Genomic DNA, 18,623 nt, shown 5'->3' with positions numbered 1-18,623 from the left:
AAGTGACCGGTGGTTCACCTACCTGTCCTTGACCTGCTTCTGTCTGCTCTCAATTTTTCTTACCCGTACCTCCACCCTGCCTTTGCCTCAAACTTCCCATCTCCATGAAGGTAATCTTCTGCTTTTCCTAAGCCAATGGTTGTTAAGTCTGGTCTCCAGATCTGCAGCATCAGACTCACCTGGGAAGTTGTTAGAAATACAGATTCTTAGGCCTCGCCCCAGATCTACTCAATGAGAAATTCTGGGAGTGGGGTCCAGCAATCTGAGTTTTAATGAGCTTTCCAGGGATTCTGCTGCATGCTAAAGCTAGAGAACCCCACTGAACTAAGCTAAAAAGCCAGGTACCTCTAGAGTCCCTGTGTTGCCCCACCATGATCACGGGGCCCCCACATACACAAACTCCATGACTAGAGAAGAAAGCCATTTGTCTGACACCATGCAGCAGTCACAAAATGCAGTCACATCCAGTAAAATTTTTCAGGGCCAGCTTAGGCAAAAGCTTGAAGCAAGAGGTAACAGCCCTCCCCTTTGTGGTCTACCCTTCATAATGATAGCCCCCTTTTCTCAATCAGTGCAATGGCCTTTAATTCAACCCCCTCCCACCTCATCAGACCCAGCTCTTGACCCTTAGATTAGAAGCCCACCACAATGCGAGTGGATGTGTTCATACATAACCCTCTTCCCTAACCATGAAACGTAATGAAAGGCTCCAAGCTCTGTTCAAGAGGGTAGACAGGGGTACTTCATCTAGAGTAAATGCTAACAATAAAACGTGAACTACGCAATTGCGCTACTTTCTACAAATTACAGAACGCTTCCATAACTCTCACAAGGATCACAAAAGCTACTTCTGAAACAGACATTAGAACCCAGGGGCCTATCTACTGTAACACGCCAGACATTATATAAATTCTTGTTAGTCATCTAATGGGGCTATTATAAAAGTTCTGGTCACTCTGTAAGGGCAGGGGCCCATGTCACCAGAGCACACTGCCACATAAAAAGAATTTCTTTGTCGCAAACCCAGGCCATTAGAAATAATGCAGAGACACACGACTAAACAAAGGATAACTTCCTGAATCCAAAGTATCAAGTTTACTGAAAAGGGCAGGGGACGACCTTTACGGTCCGACTTTTCTTTGTGGAGATCTAATGATCCTCTTATCTACTCCCTTGACTGGCTAACAGGTCTGTAGTTTTCTCTTAGAAGAATGAAAGGTGGTTATTCTCTTATTGTTTTAATGTCTACCGCAGCAACATTTGGAGGAATAAAAAAGGCCCATAGAGGTAGAACTGAGGTTCCCGCACAATCACTCTTTGCCCATCAATATGGAATTTATGCTCAGTTCTAAAATGCACAAAAATTGCATTTGAAAAATGAGAAGCTTTCAGAAGTCGGAAGTGTGTGTGTGTGCGTGCACACACACACACACTCTCTTCCATATGTTCCAGAGAGGTGGAAATATGCACAAGAAGAATCTGATGACCCTCCCATTCCGCCTCCTTTATTTTCATTTCTTAGAAACTCCTTCTATTGGAACATCCCTTCCCACATTTATATACAGGGATAGATTCCTGGAGAAGAGAGGGAGTAAGATTCACAAAAGATCTAATTTGGAGCACTAATAATTACAGCAGCTGAAAAGCATACGAAAGCAAAGAGCCCTGTTAACAAAACACTATCAGGGCACTTTCCAGAAAACAGACCGGCGATGAGATTACTACTAAAAATAATGAAGACAAGAAGAGCCAAAATCAAATCTCAACTATGCAGACAGACTTGTAGAATTTTTCACCTTCACTGCTACAATCAGCATTTTTTAAAAAGAGCAGTAGACTGCATGAGTTGACAAAGGAAGAAAAACAAAAGATAGCAAGAGACTCATTCTGGACACACAGTTGCTATTCTGTATTCACAACTCTACACCAGCAACAGCAGCTCAAATAAGGCACAAGGTGGGGTCCTGGACAAATTCACCCATGATCAGACCAATTATCCACGCTGCACTTCTGCACACAGTAAACACCCCTGACCTGCACCACCTCTGCACCTCCCACCCCCATGACTGGGATAAACCCCACCACAAGCTGAAAAGAACCCTGTTTTTTTTGTGAGAACCAGCCAGAGCCTAAGCTGTCATTACACAGCAAAAACCTAGCGAGAACAAAAAGCCAGCAGCAGACTGATGTAGAAAGCCCAGAACATACCTGAATTCTTCAAATGCAAACATGACCTAGTCAGAGACAATTTCCTTAGATTGTGTGGTAGTCTTTTTGGTATGGAGGACAACCATTTAGTTAGTCAGATGGTGCAAAGTGCAGAAAAATGAGGCGGGGTTTCCACACCCCCCAATATTCTGAAGTAAAAGGCTTTCTGCAGACAGGGGCCTGCAGCCTCCAGCTCCGCCAGCTGCTGACAAGCGGCAGCTAACAGGGGAGGCAGCTAGAAAACCATGTGATCATTCCAGCAAGTCTGATTAATGCAGTGTATGCTTAGGCTCCAGGCTGGGAACTGGATTAGTCTAGAGAAAGAAGTCGAACCCAGGGCACGCCTGGGATCCTGGGTAAAGCATGTAACACATCCCACCCCCTACCAGAACTGTGCAGGTTGGGGAGAGAGGAGAGAAGGCTGAAAGGAATGAGAATGCAACCTGTTCCGCTGTGATCTGCCTAATTACCTCATCTTCCTCTGGCTGCTGCTGCTATAAGCTCAGGCATGACCAACATTATATGTGAACGTAAGTACTGAAAAATTCTGCAGAATTCTGTATTTTACCATTCCACTATCAAACACTATTTTAGCACAAATGCATAAGCTGCTTCAGAATCACAAGTCGCATTTTATGTCCACCACTTTACCATGACCAGCGTGACCTTACATGTCACTCCTTATTAGTGATCTCATTTATTTGATTATTCATTTATCGAGTATATAGTAGGTACCCGGTTCTCACCAATTCCTTGAAGTACAAAAATTGCTATAATCATTTCAGAAGAGAAGAAGGAGGAAACGAGATGCCAGCCCCCAAAAGAAAAATGTTTATCAGGCTGGCAAGATTTGGCAAATGAGCTGAGGTTGTATTCTGAGACTCGCCATGAAGGAAAATCTTCAGCATTCGGGTTGCAACTCTTTGTGAAATAAGCAAGGCAGATCTCAAATAAAAACGTATGAGTCACTCTTGACGTTTTTTCTCTCCCTTGACCCCAGTGTCATCAGTCACTAACTGTAATCGACCTGGAAAAGGTGGCCTGAAGCTGCCCCTTTCCCCTCACCCGCTCACGCAGCCTGGGTGTGCCCTCAGCGCCCCTCACTCAGCCTCTGGCCTTAGGAAAATTGCTCTGGCTGAGTTTTAGAGAAGGGGTGGAAGAAGGAAAACCAGTTACCAATTCTGATTTTGATGCCTCTGTTTAACCCTGCATTACTAACTCCTCACAGCTCAAGAAATAAAGTCTTTCACGCCTCTTCATGACATGCAAAGTCTTATTTCTCCAATTCTTTCTTCCACTAAAACTCTTCACACACCTTCAAATTCAGTTAGACATTCACAGTTCCCAAAATCTGTCAGGACCTCCCTTCTCGGGCCCATGGACCAGCTGGATGAGGTTCTTTGCTGCTCCCTAATGTGAGCCGCTGCCCACGTGCTGCTCCCTCACTGCTCCCTCTCCGAGGGGCTGAGATTCCCACAGGGCAGCGCACTGCTCTCTCTTCTTGGCTGCCACCTGCGTGGCATCCAACATTGTGTTTGCCTCTCCTGCAAATCTAAGAGTTCCTTGAGGACAGGAATGTGTGAAGTTAATTTCTGTATTCCCAATGCCTGACATAGCACTTGACAAAAAGGAATTATTCACATAAGGTTTGCTGAATGAACCTCTTTTGCCTCAGCTTTTATCAGGGAGAAGAGTGATCCAGTACATGCATTCGCACGAAGGTGCTCTGGGACAAATGTATCACTCTTCATACAGTTATCTCCGTCTCGAAGAGAAGCAAGAGAGTCCAGGTCTTGACTCAAAGAAATGCAGTGACAAAGGCCAAACGAGGCCGACTGACGAGTGAGGGAGGTGTCTGGGGGAATCCTGTGGTCCCCCAAACCACACAGCAATCACCTAAGCTGATCTGAAATGCCTTCTGCAGTATTCATGACCAGCATCTGCCTGAGACCTTCTGGTGATGGCAGCTTCTTGGCAGAATCATAATAACAGGAAACAAAATATTCAAGTCATTAAATAACTCAGTTTTAAGTCCCAGATCTGCCCCTTACTCTGTGATCATTGACAAGCTACTTAAATTCCCTGGGCCTTGGATTTACCCTATATAAAACCAGAATAATATTGATACTGCCCACGCCTCTCTCATAGGAGTGTTGTAAGAAACCAATAAAGTAGGAGTTGGAAAGTTCTTTATCAAATATATTAAGTTACATAAGTATCTTCATCAGCTTTATTATCTCACAAGATGATCTCTAACCGGACAGCTCTGATGACTGGGTGGTTCTTCTTCATGAAGAGACTACCACTCCTTGGAAGTATCCTGTCTGCTCAATGGGTGGCTCATTTAATTTTGTGGGGACCTCTAGACTCTGTGCCTGCTCTCCACCAGTGACTCAAGACTCTCCTTTTGCAGGTATAACCAGCACCTTTCAGGGCAATTCATAAGGTCCTGGTAGAGGACAGTTGGTAGAAATGGTGAAAAATCAAATCCCAGCACCAAGCTCATTTTACACATAATATTAAGAGATTCTCCCAACTTACTAATAGAAGACAGAGGCCAAAGTGGTTAAGTAACTTGTCCAGGGTCATACAGCTATAAGTAGCAGAGTAATGACATGGATTCCGGCTGAGCTAACTCCAACATGCTCTCCTGGTGTCCTTACACCAATGATCCAACCAGCTCAGGCTGCCTCCAGAAGAGGACTTATTTGATAGACTGTCAGGCAGCCTGTGGCCCTGCAGAGGCGGTAGGACACTGACCCTTTTGGGCTATTTTATGTAGCTGGCCAGGTGAATCCCCAAATTTCATGGCCAAGCAAGAGACCTGCCAGGGCTAAAAAAAAGTGCCTCAACTGTTCCAGGAAGTGAGAGGTAGACACCTCAGCTGACATGGCATTGGGGTCCAAATGGGAACCAAGTCTGCTTCAAAGGCTAGAAATCCTCGACCACTTGATTACTGATAACACCAAAGTGTCAGAAACAGAAACATAAGTGAGGGTCCGTGACTCCTGACAACTCCACTCCTGTCTGGAATAGGGCTCAAAAAGGCACTTCTGTGACCACATAATGTGTTTTTTTGTTGTTGTTGTTTTTGTTTGTTTGTTTGTTTTAGAGACGGAGTCTCGCTCTTTTGCCCAGGCCGGACGTTTGTTTGTTTTTTGAGCCGGAGTCTTGCTCCATCGCCAAGCTGCAGTGCAGTGGCGCAATCTCAGCTCACTGCAACCTCTGCCTCCTGGGTTCAAGTGATTCTCGTGCTTCAGCCTCCCGAGTAACTGGTATTACAGGCACGTGCCGCCACACCCAGCTAATTTTTGTATTTTTAGTAGAGACGGGGTTTCACCATGTTGGCCAGGATGGTGTTGATCTCTTGACCTTGTGGTCCACCCTCCTCGGCCTCCCAAAGTGCTGGGATTACAGGCGTGAGCCACAACGCCCAGTGTTTTGTTTTTGTTTTTGTTTTTTAAAGGCACTCCAAGCCATTCGCCAACAACTCAGGCTCAGATAATGCACACTCCTACTCTGGGACTTAATTTCCCTTTGTACCATGAAAGAATAGCCAGATGTTAAATTTTTAAATTAATAAATAATTAATTTTTTTTTTTTTTTTTTGAGACAGAGTCTTACTCTGTCACGCAGGCTGGAGCGCAGTGGTGCAATCTCAGCTCACTGCAACCTCTGCCTCCCAGGTTCATGTGATTCTTGTGCCTCGGCTTCCCCAGTAGCTGGGATTACAGGCATGCACCACCAGGCCTGGCTAATTTTTATTTTATTTTATTTTTAGTAGAGACAGGGTTTTGCCATGTTGGCCAGGCTGGTCTCGAACTCCTGGCATCAAATGATCTACCCACCTTGGCCTCCCAAAGTGCTGGGATTACAGGCATGAGCCACTGTGCCCAGCCAATAATTGTCTTATTTTTAAAAATAACACTTCCATGGAACCCTAATACATACAACTGATCAAAGTAGAATAGTTCCAGCTGAAGAAGGTGGAGGGGCCCTAGAGTCCCTGCTGCAAGGCCTTCCCTCTCTCTACCAGGACAGGCTCAACCTGAACACACTGGCCTAAATGACTCTGGCAGTCCCTGCCGGCGCTAATGATCTGTGGGGCTCTCCCAGCTACAAACTGTCACACTCACCCTAGTTAATCTGGATTCACTTCCTCTTTCTAGTGTCATTCCTAAGAATACCCTCCCTAGCCCCAGCGGTACTACCATGGTAGAACACTCATCTGCAGTTACTGGACATGTGAGCTGCCCGGGACTTCTCCGGAGAAACAAACATGGAGACGCTGATACAAACACAAACATGAACAGGAAATGGCCCTGGGTTCCTGACAATGTGGGAAAGCTAAATGAGAATATTTTAAACAAGTGTCCTCAGCTTAACCGGTACCTTCGTTTTGCAACCCATGTCTTTTCATACGAAATGGTCAACTGTCCAAGAAAAGGAATTTATGATTTGTTAGTACTGAATCTCATTACAGTTCACTTGGAGGCCAATAAACAGAGAGTTTAAGGCCCTGATGTCCCGTGGACTTGAGACCTTACAATCAACATTTCCTCTGCCACTTTTTTAGGCTGTGGGGCACACAGCCATGATGGACGTGAAGCAAAATAAGGACTGAGCATCTGAACAGAATCTAATGTGCCAATCAAGTAAAAAAAGAACTCTATTTCAACATTTACTAATATGCACATTCACTTCTGTGCTGTGTGGAGATGAAACAGAAGGAGCCACAAATGGAAGTCAGCTATGATCATGACTAAAAATACTATTCTTTTCTCATGGCCCAATCAAGGATCTTTCCAATGGCCAGGGGGCTGAGCGGTAATAAGAGGAATTCAACAGTGTCTTCAGAGGCCCATTTCTCCCTGGTTTCACTTCTACAACCCTAATTAAGACCCTTCTAGCCTCTACCTGATCTCCTGCCTGTCTTACTCCCTTCCTGCACAGTTTTCAACCCTACCAATTGCCAGTTAAAAAACCCACAACTCAAAAACTAAAACTAAAGTGTTCATATGATCCAGCAATTCCACTGCTAGATATATACCCCAAAGAAAGGAAATCAGTATACTGAAGAGATATCTGCACTCTCATGTTTACTGCAGCACTGTTGACAATAGCCAAGATTTGGAAGCAACCTAAGTACCCATCAACAGATGACTGGATAAAGAAAATGTGGTACATATACACAGTGGAGTACTATTCAACCATAAAAAACAATGAGTCCTGTCATCTGCAACAACATGGATGGACTGGAGGTCATTATGTTAAGTGAAATAAGCCAAGCACAGAAAGACAAACTTCACATGTTCTCACTCATTTCTGGGAGCTAAAAATTAAAACAATTGAACTTGTGAGAAGAATGAGAGCTAAAAATTAAATTTAAGTTAAAAATTAGAATAGGGGCTAAAAATTGAAACAATCGAACTTGTGAGTAGAATAGAGAGTAGAATGATGGTTACCAGAGGCTGGGAAGGGTTGGGGATGTTCATGGGTAACCAATGGGCAGGGGACTGATCATATTTTATCTATTAAAATAGAGTTAGAATGAATAAGAATCAAATGCTAGTATCTGATAGCACAATAGGGTGATTACAGTCAACACTAATTTATTGTACATTTAAAAATAACTAAAAGAGTATAACTGGAATGTCAGCAACACAAAGAAATAATAAATGTTTGAGGTGATGGATACCCCATTTGTCCCATTTGTAATTAGTTATTACACATATCTGCCTATATCAAAATATCTCATGTACCCTATAAATAGAAATATCTACTATGTAACCATAAAAATATAAAAAATAAACCTACCATTCTTTTTTACTGTCTGCATAATAGTCTCAGCCCCCAAACTTGGCATTTGGCTCCCGCACAATCTGACCATTGTATGCTTCAACCCAGCTCTCAAACTTGCCAACCTGGCCCCTCGGCATGGCCCTGCACTGACTCCGCACCCTAACCATATCACCTCCACCTGTGCTGTGTGGAGATGAAACACAAGGAGCCACAAATGGAAATCAGCTATGAACATGACTAAAAATACTATTCTTTTCTCATGGCCCAATCAAAGATCTTTCCAATGGCCAGGGGACCCTCGGTCCCGGATCCATAGTGCTTCCACCTTCTCTCCACAAGTGGCTATGGAAAGCCACTTGATTCTGAATCCAGTTCTACTCCTATCTCCCTGAGAAGCCTTGGGCAAATTCTCACCAGCCTAAGTCTCAGTTTCCTCATCCTAAAATGGGGAAGACAGCATGTATTTTGTGGGGATGCTGTGATGTGCATTACACACATTAACCACAATCAATGGTAGCTAATATTATCAAATATGCCTCAAAAACCCATCGAGTTGCCCTCCTGACCAAAACCAGTCTCAACTGATCTCTAAAACTCCTGAATTCCTATCACAATCAATAACCATTTTTAAAATGTTCACACATTGTCTTATGCTGAACAACTCAGTTCATTACGTGTCTTGGGACCCTAGTCAAAGAGAGTCCCTGGGGATGGAACTAGAATGGCTAGAAGGTGAGGCCTGAGGGGTTTAACTCCCCACAACCTCAAAGACAGTCCCTGGGGATGGAACTAGAATGGCTAGAAGGTGAGGCCTGAGGGGTTTAACTCCCCACAACCTCCATCAGACAAGAAATACACACACAATCTAAGTAATAACAGCATGCTTGGTATGCAAATACAGCTTCAAAAGGAAGCCATTACAATTCTGGGCCACTATCCTCAAATTATCCCATTTTGAAATTGTGGGGAGTCCACTAGCACTGACCTTGGTTTTAGTCCTAATCTTTCACAAGGCACAGCAATTCTTAGTCATACATTGTAAGTCTTAGAGACGGTTTTTCTCACAACTCAATTGTTTCATGTGGCTCTCAGATTACTAATGAAACAGAGCCAAGATCAAAAACATCTCAAGAGAAAAAGTAAAACCACCACCAGGACCATAAGCCAAAGGAAGTGTCAACTCCATGAAAGGGGGGCCCTTGCCTCATCCTTACCATTCTTTCCCCAGGCCTGGCACACAGAATTGTTCATCTGTTGAGTTAATTAATCAATGGTTTGTGGACTTAGAGAGATTTAATAAAAAGATGAAATTAGATTAAGTCAGCAGTCCTCTTTCCAGTACAAACATCAAATAATAGGGCAGATTACCCTTTTGAATAAGCAAGTGCAGCTGCTCCAGTGTCACCCTGATTTACTGAAATTTGCTAATTAAGAAGGTATTTCCAGGAAGAAAGGAATAATCAAGAAGATAAAATCATGTAAAGCAAATACATACATTCAATAAAGAAATATATACTGAGCACCTGCCATGTGACCAGCACTGTTACACCCGAGGCGGGAGAAGAGGTCAAAGAAGATTCAGACGCACTTCAGGCCTTTCCAACAGTTAGAAACAGACCCCATAACCTAAAAAAGCTGAAATGATAGTTAGCAATGGTAAATCAATACCAAGTATATGAAGCTGGGGTATAGGATTTTCTATTTATTCCTTTAGTGTTACTAGATTTTTTTCCACTTCAATTCACTGTTCTTATCAATGTCCCTTTTGAACCCTGGCTCCATTATGAAGTTGCTGAATGTACCTGGAGAGTGAATAGCTGGGCTGTGGTCCCAGCTCCATTCCTTAACAGCTGAGTGTCCTTTGGCAAAACACTTTATCTGTCAGCATCTCAGTTTACTCACCTGTAAGTTGTAAATAATAATTCCTATCCTGCTTCCTCACACAGAAATCCTGAGGATCAAATATAATAACAGGTGTGCCAATCTTTCGTAAATTTTAAGTGCTATACAAGTCAACAGTAGTACTATTAACAACAACAAAAGAAATTATCCCTTTGCACTTTGTGTCATTTGAGATCTTGATAAGGCAGGAATTTTAAGTCTTCATCCAGGCCATATAATTAGATTATCCTTAAGAGCAACTTACTATCCACGTGACCAAGAGAATATAGATAAACACCCACAAGTACAGGAATGCAGGGCTGACAGAGTATCATAGTCAATTTAGTCAAAACTTTACTCTTGGGCAATAGTCTAAGCCATCCAAGATGCTTATATGCTCAATATTCTTATATGCTCAATATGTACTCATTATGTCGAAGTCTAATTTTCAAAAAGCTAAAAACACAGCTCTCATAAAAATATTTAGTATATATGTGTCAAAGGCTGATTAATCTTGCAAAGTTAGATATAAAACTGGTTAATGTTTCATTTCAGAGCAATGAAACCATAATCTTTGAGGTTATCTTTTCTATTAAAACAGGAATCATTTAATTTCTACTGGACAAAAATCATTTGTAACATCAATTTTCTATAAATTAATATCTAACTTTACAGAGTCTAAACTCTATTCAAAAGTAAGTCAAATAATTACCTTCTCCAGGAATGTTCTATGTCCCTTCAGTGGACTTTCCAAACAAATGCTTTTGAGTGACACTGAAAGGGCACACAATAATCTTTTTGCCTTTTCTCCAAGTTTTAGATAACATTTCTAAAAATCTTCAAAATATCTAAACATAGCTTATCATCTATTCCAATGAACTAGTTAATAAAAAATTCTCTCCTATCTGGCCCATTTTTGTATCTTCCTCATTCACATGTTCTTTATAAAAATCTTCAAGTGAATAAAGTCAATCATAAATAATTGCTTAGTTTTCTTAGGACAAATCATCTTGAAATCCAAAGTTGAGGAGGGCACTATGTTCCAAAACTTCCAGTCCTCAGTGCCTCTCTGCATTCTCTCCAACGACCTCACTTTTGGATCTCCTAAAGATGAAAAACGGAACATTTGATTCACAGGCTTTGTAAATTCCCTAGAGGTCTGGCTATTCTGAGGCAGTTGCCATAATTAACCGTAATTTCCTCATCTTCACAAACCCATCCCTGTCACCCTTTTCTTTCCAATATAACAATGCTTGGAAGTCAAAACCAAAATCACTACAGAGGTACGAACAAACAAACAAAAAACCTGCTGGGCACAGTGGCTCAACGCCTGTAATCCCAGCATTTTAGGAGGCCAAGGCGGGTGGATCACCTGAGGTCAGGAGTTTGAGACCAGCCTGGCCAACATGGCGAAACCCTGTCTCTACTAAAAATACAAAGAATTAGCTGGGCGAGGTGGCACATGCCTGTAATCCCAGCTACTTGGGAGGCTGAGGTAGGAGAATTGTGGAGGCTGCAGTGAAGTGAGATGGTGCCACTGCACGATCTTGTTGCCTGGGCAACAAGAGCAAAACTCTGTCTCAAAAAACAAACAAACAAAACCAACCCACACTAACTAGCACAATAATGACGACCAAGTTCTGATTTTTTATCTTGCCCAAATTCCTACCTAAGGGGTCTAGGAGTCACGCCCTACAAACCATAAATTCTCATCAGATGGGTTTTATTTTAACCCTGTATATCGTGACTTACTTTCCAATCTGAGTGACTCTGGCATAACAAGGAAGAAAATCAAAATGTTTTACCTCAAAATATATTTCCTTGCCATACCTTGAAATTGCCCTGCAAAGTCTCTTGTGGGAAAAATCTGCATTCTATAGAGAACCCCCTCTTTTCCCTTTGTTTTTCTTCCTTCCTTTCCAGATCCAGGAGACAATCAACTAAGAGCCAGGCACCCTTTTAAGTCTGATAAGAAACATTTTACAACGTGCTCTCTCTAAAGTCTGAGAGTTTCCTCTGCACAATAAAACTTGGTCTCCACAATCCTTTATCTTAACCTGAACATTCCTTTCCGTTAATCCCAGGTCTTCAGATAAACTTAACCAATTTCCAACCAGAAAATGTTTAAATTTACCTACAGCCTGGAAGCCCCTGCTTTGAGTTGTCCTGCCTTCTGAATCAAACCAATGTATTTCTTAAATGTATTTGATTGATGTCTCATGCCTTCCTAAAATATATAAAACTAAGCTGTACCGTGACCACCTTAGGCACATGTTCTCATGACTGTGTCATAGGCCATGGTCACCCATATTTGGCACAGAATAAATCTCCTAAAATATTTTACAGTTTGACTCTTCATCAACAACAATACGAAGTCAAAAAAGAAATCTAATTAATCTGAGAATGTCTTCTTCACATTTGTATTTTCCACAGAGGTTAGGGAACTGGAATGATTGAATAAACAAATAAATAAATTGAATGGACTAAAAAAACAGAAAGAATGAATGGATTCCAAAGGTTTCAGCATGTTAAAATGTCTTTCAAGAAACCAAGAAAGGAAGGCAATTTCTGGAGACTAGTCCAGTGAGGGCTTCAGAAATGAAGACTACATGAATGAACACTGTGGGAATTTCAAGCATCCAACTGGCAAGGCAAGATGGAAGACATTTTATTTTGAAGGTAGGGAGATCAAGGAGGGGAATAAATATGCACATCTGAAATGAGGCCACACGGGTGTGTTCTCAAAGAGAGCAGTAGTTCCCATGTTTTCAGAGCCTAAGGTATGGAGTCTAGGTACCAATGCTTGACCATGCAACCCCTTCCTAATCTACAAGTACTAAAAATGAAAACCTTCATTTAATACATGTTCTCACTGGAGAAGGAGGTAGAGGGAAGGCAGATATAATCATAAAGAAGTTGCACAAACATATGCCTAAGAGAGTTGTAATCTAAGAAGTCTTACGTGAGGTAAACGTGTTTTGTTTCCTCAAAAAGCTAATTTTTCTTTCTCACATTCCATTTCTGATAATCAGGACTTCTCTATTTCTGATTTCCTACTAAGATGTAAAAAGCAGTGTTTTTTCCCTCATCTAAAATAGCACTGCTTCTTAGTTTCAAAAAGTTCTATTTGCATTTCATCTCATGAGTCTTGCAGTGTTGCTTATATTCCTTCTTACAAAAAGCCCCAACACCCAACATACAACCATGGTATTTAAATTAATAGGTACAAGGACAAATTGATTAAGACCTTCCCACGGATTGCTAATGCCACACTGGGATTTGTTAGGTGACTGACTACATTTGAAAATGCAGTTATTTTTTAAAAGATATATTCATACTACCATGAAAAAAATGGGCATTTGATTATTTTCTAAGCCTCCTTCTCAAGCCATTCAACTCTTTCTTGGACCCTAAAGCAAATACTGAATACAGAAGAAAAAGAAGGGTAAAGGAGTAGTTGCCTTCAGACACTAGAACAGGCACTGAATGAACCAAACCTTGAGAACCACTGTGTTACACGCAAGAACATGAGGGTTTCAGAGATTTCATTAATATGGTAAGTGACCTAAGAAAAGAGTCAGTCTGATCTCCTCACTTTGAGCAAAGAAACAGAAAAACGCAGCACCTTGCCTAGGGTCACACAATCACAGTCAGAGATGGAATTAGAACTGAAGTGTCCTGATTTCTAACTCAAGTGTTTCTTCTCCACATTAGTGGCTCTCAAAAGCGGGGTCATCCACCAGCCATATTAGCATCACCTGGGAGCTTGTTAAGGATGAAAAATCTCAGATCCCGCCCCAGAATTAGTGCATCAGAGGCTGGAGGAGAGAACCAGCACTGTTTTAACAAGCCCTCCTGGGGATTCTAACGCATGCTCAAGTTTGAGAACCACTGACTGCCCTACACCAGCAGTTCTCAACTGGGGATGATTCTGGGCCCCAGGAACATTTGGCAACGTCTGGAGATACTTTTAGCAGTGGCGACTGGGAAATGAGGTTGGGTGTTGCTTCTAGCATCCAATGGGTAGAAGCCAGAGATGTTGCTAAACATCCTACTATGTACAGGTAGTCCTCCACAACAAAGTATTATCTGTCAATAGTGCTGAGGTTGAGGAACTCTGCCCTACACCTAATAGTGGGAGGGCAGAACCAGGAAAGCTGTCCGTGCTTTTCTTTCTTTCTCTTTCTCTCTCTGTCTCTGTCTGTCTCTCCCTCTCTCTCTCTCTCTCTCCTCTCTCTCTGAAAGTATCTATCTGCTTTAGCTGGAAGTTCAGTTCTCTTTCATAAATGCATCCTGTGAAGCTGTACCTCCCCGCTGGAGTGCCTCCAATAGGTAAGGCAAGCCGACACACTTTGAGTCTTTGGCTACTTCTGAGATCAGAGCCTCAGGCCCCTTGGCCAGTCACTCTCACAGCAAGCAGCTATATCTAGTTCCCAAGGGTATCACGCAAATGTTGGCATTTTTCATGAGTGCCATGATGTGAGTAGATAAGAGAGCAGCACAGATCTTTTTTTCAAAAGTCAGAGTTCCTCCTGTGAAAGGAAAATAAATCTTGGGGCCCCCAAATCACTAAGCTAAAGGGGAAGTCAAACTGGGAACTGCTTAGGCCAAACCTGCCTCTCATTCTATTCAAAGTCATTCCTCTGCTCACTGAGAAAAATCTGATTTGCCTCCTCTGGAAAACCTAAGCAGAAATTCAAAAGAATGCAACCATTTGTCTCTCACCTACCTGTGACCTGGAAGCCCTCTCCCTGCTTGAGTTGTCCTGCCTTTCTAGAGGGAACCAATATATATCTTACATATACTGATTGATGTCTCATGTCTCCCTAAAATGTACAAAACCAAACTGTGCCCCGACCACCATGAGCACATATCGTCAGGACCTGTTGAGGCTGTGTGACAGGCGCACGTCTTCAACCTTGGCAAAATAAACTTTCTAAATTAACTGACACCAGTCTCAGATATTCGGGGTTCACATTCTGGTAACCACGAAAGGATTCTGAGTGAAGGTGCCCCTAACCTTTGACAAATCTCCTACTGGTGCTTGTACCAGCTTGAGCTATCTTTATGGCTCAAACCAACAGGACAATTTGCTGAGGCCTGGAAGCACCCCTCCAGAGAATCTCTGATTTCCCAAAATCTGGATGAGATTTAAAGTTTATTTTGCTGTACAACTCCTTTTTTTTTTTTTTTGATGTTTTACTTGCTTCCAACACAAAGAAGGCAAGTTTTTCCTGCTTCCACGATGGAAGGCATGAACTCCTTTATGGAGTTTGAGCTCGCTTCCAACAGGGAAGACGAATTTGAGATTTTTCCTGCTTCTTGGATGGCACAGAGCAGTCTTCAGACTGAGACCCATCCATAGGCCTAGGTCAGTAACTGAATTGGGGTTCGTCTTGGCTAAAGTTAAGATTAACATGCCGGGCGCAGTGGCTCACACCTGTAATCCCAGCAGTTTGAGAGGCCAAGGCGGGTGGATCACTTGAGGTCAGGAGTTCAAAACCAGCCTAGCCAACATGGTGAAACCCCATCTCTACTAAAAATACAAAAAACCCAGCCAGGTGTGGTGGCAGGCACCTGTAATCCCCGCTACTTGGGAAGCTGACGCAGGAGAATTGCTTGAACACGGGAGGCGGAGGTTGCAGTGAGCCAAGATCGCACCACTGCACTTCAGCCTGGGCGACAGAACGAAACTCTGTCTCAAAAAAAAAAAAAAAAAAAGATTAACAACCAGCTGGTTTTATTTGCTCCTTACCATTAAAGCATTCAGTAATTGTATAAGTTGTGCCATCGTTTGTTTTGCTTGACTGTTTTGTCTTTGTTTCTGTTTTTGTTGTTGTTTTGGTCTTTTTCCCATTGGGTTTCATCAACTCTATCCGACCTGATCAAATCCACAGGAAAGTTCCAAATTATGGGGAACGAGGCCTCTGAAGTGGCTAAATCCCCCTCACCCCCAACACACACAAAAGTGTTGTCGGTGTGGGGGGGGGGGGGGAAATGGCCAGCAAAAGGGGAAAAAAAAAAGGAAAGATTTTTTGACTTAAAGGGCTTTATTTACGTCACACGGCCACCTTTTTGCTAGCCATGCCAAACCAAAAGAGTGATGGCTGTCGCCCCATGCTGCAGTTCCATAGCTAAGGGTTCTGCCTTCTTTTTTTTCCACCGGGACAGCCTGGGTTTGGTTCCTAAATCAAGCCCTTTCTGGTTTGATGCTTGGTACTTCTGCAATAGTAGCAATTTGTGCCAGCTGAAATATGGTAATGAGATTTAAAAAGTTTTTTAAAAGAAGCTCAATGGTTAAAAGTCAGTTTAATTAAAAGGTAACATCCAAGGGGTGTGTGTGTGTGTGTGTGTGTGTGTGTGTGTGTGTGTGTATTTAAAAGGCCTTCATACTTTTTGTTTTTCTCCTAGGACACTGTCTTTTTTTTTGAGCGAGAGTTTTCTTCTCAGTTGATTGAATTCTGTTTTCTTCATTTACTTCTGCTGTCTCTCCTTTCTCTTGCACCCTCTGATGCATGAGGGACCAGGACATACTTATCCCTGCCAAGTAATATTAGGTGTCAAAATTTGGCATAGGGGTTACAAAACTATAAACCCAGCTTAAAACAGAATGATCTTTGCTTGTATAATTTTTAATAAATAAGATATTGATATTAATTTAATGAAAACAGCTACATCTTGAATTATTTAGTAAAATTACCATAACTTCTAATCTTGTGGCTTTAGGCAGTCTAGTCCACAGGCAGTAAGGAGGTTTGTTTAGAGAAAGGACTGCTGTTGTCTTTATTTCAAAACTATAAACTAAGTTCCTCCCAAAGTTAGTTTGGCCTATGCTCAGCAATGAACAAGGACAGCTTGGAGGTTAGAAGCAAGATGGAGGCGGTCAGATCATATCTTTTTCACTGTCTCTGTTATAATTTTGCAATGGCAAGCTTCACAACTTTAAATGATGACTGTTGTAGTTTTCATAAGTAATCTAGGTAAATGATTAGAATAAAATAATTAGGTAAATGTAATGAAATAAATACTTGTAGACAAACTTGTCATAATTTAGAATCTAAAGTTAAATTAAATAACAGATATTTCATTATTTAGGTATATTCCAATAAAAATATATTGTAGGAAAACATTCTAAAAAAATACATGTGTCCTTTTTAAAAAGGTGAACAATTTTTGTCTAATTCAAAGCTTATTTAAAGGTTATGTATAAAACAAGGTAAAAGGAACCAGGAAATAAGAGAAATATATAGAAAGTTACAGCAATAAAGAGGTATTTTTTGGTAAGAAAGCTTAAAGAGAAATAATTTTATATGAGAAACAATCTTGAATGGTAAGTGCAGTCCTAGAATAAAATGACTGGTTATTTAAGAAAGAGGGACATTCGGGAAGTCCAAGCATGTCATGAATGGTGTATGTAAGTCACAATAAGAGGATTTATTAAAAAGACAAAACTTTTATATGATCAAATTAAAGAGAAATTAAAATGGTCTTTCTAGAGACTGAGTTTGATGTTAAAAAAAAAACCACTTACACACTAAAGAACTGACTAGAACAGTAACATTTTCTTAAGGGATTGATTTACTCTTAATAAATGATAAGAGATTGTAATTTTTTTTAACCCAAAGTTCAACCTTTCTTGCATCTTGCCATTTTCGGTTTTCTCTCCCCTTTTTAAAGGTGTGAAATAGTACTGCCCTCCTTCGACTCATTTTCAGTTCATAAAAGGTTTTTTTCCCTTGAGTTCTGTTTGTTGTGGCCTGATGCTAACATTTGTTTGTTGGTTGGTTGGTTGGTTGATTTTGAGACACAGTCTCACTCTGTCGCCCAGGCTGGAGTGCAGTGGCACCATCTCAGCTCACTGTAACCTCTGCCTCCCGGGTTCAAGTGATTCTTGTGCCTCAGCCTCCCAAGTAGCTGGGATTACAGGCGCACGTCACCACATGCAGCTAATTTTTGTATTCTTAGTAAGGACGGGCTTTCGCCATGTTGGCCTGGCTGGTCTTGAACTCCTGATGTCAGGTGATCCACTGCCTCGGCCTCCCAAAGTGCTGGGATTATAGGTGTGAGCCACCGCATCTGTCCTCTAACATTTTTTTAAAGGTCTAAAAGGAATGTTTTCTTCCAATATAATCTGTGCACTGCAGAAGGTCTCTTCTTTTGCCTTTTGGTAATTGGTCTAACAGATTTTACATTTTATCAAAATAATTCCTATGCCATTATTATTAAATTTGGTTTGCTTAGGAAAAAACTGAGATTAAAAAAAATTTTTTTTTAATTAAGGTTATCGGCCAGGTGTGGGGGCTCACGCCTGTATTCCCAGTGCTTTGAGAGACCAAGGAGGGCAGTGATCACCCAAGGTCAGGAGTTTGAGACCAGCATGGCCAACATGGTGAAACCCCGTCTCTACTAAAAATACAAAAATTAGCCGGGAATGGTGGCACATGCCTGTAATCCCAGCTACTTGGGAGGCTGAGGCAGGATAATTGCTTGAACCCAGGAAGCAGAGGTTGCAGTGAGCCGAGATGACATCATTGCACTCTAGCCAGGGCAACAAGAGCAAACCTCTGTCTCAAAAAATAAAAATAAAAATAAAAAATAATAAAATTAAGGTTATTACATCCATGTATCTTTCTGTATGTGCTTTTAAAGTCCTTGTGACACTGAGTTACAGGGCTTTGACTCCTGGGTCTAAAAAGGACACCAGGTCCTGTTAAATGTTAAACAGTGATAGC

The 18,623-nt window shown here is 41.7% G+C and overlaps 1 protein-coding gene across 6 annotated transcripts in view; it reads right to left on the bottom strand.

The window, feature by feature from the left end:
* The window catches only part of EVL (Enah/Vasp-like), a 172,815-nt gene that overhangs the window by 122,341 nt on the left and 31,851 nt on the right, over positions 1–18,623 (bottom strand). For 4 of the 6 annotated variants that reach the window (XR_007064013.1, XM_005267749.4, XM_047431462.1 and 1 more), the window contains exon 1: positions 2,209–2,514. The exons of the other annotated variants lie outside the window; for them this stretch is intronic. Coding sequence is in view for 3 of the 4 variants with exons in the window: in XM_005267749.4 (XP_005267806.1) it covers positions 2,209–2,231 (23 nt within the window). In the remaining variant the exon portion in view is untranslated. Of the gene's footprint in view, positions 1–2,208; positions 2,515–18,623 lie in introns of those variants that run through there. 6 annotated transcript variants of the gene reach the window in all.

The sequence above is a fragment of the Homo sapiens genome, chromosome 14 (genome assembly GCF_000001405.40).
Source record: "Homo sapiens chromosome 14, GRCh38.p14 Primary Assembly".
Lineage (NCBI taxonomy): Eukaryota > Metazoa > Chordata > Mammalia > Primates > Hominidae > Homo > Homo sapiens.
This window is presented reverse-complemented; position numbering and strand designations above follow the sequence as displayed.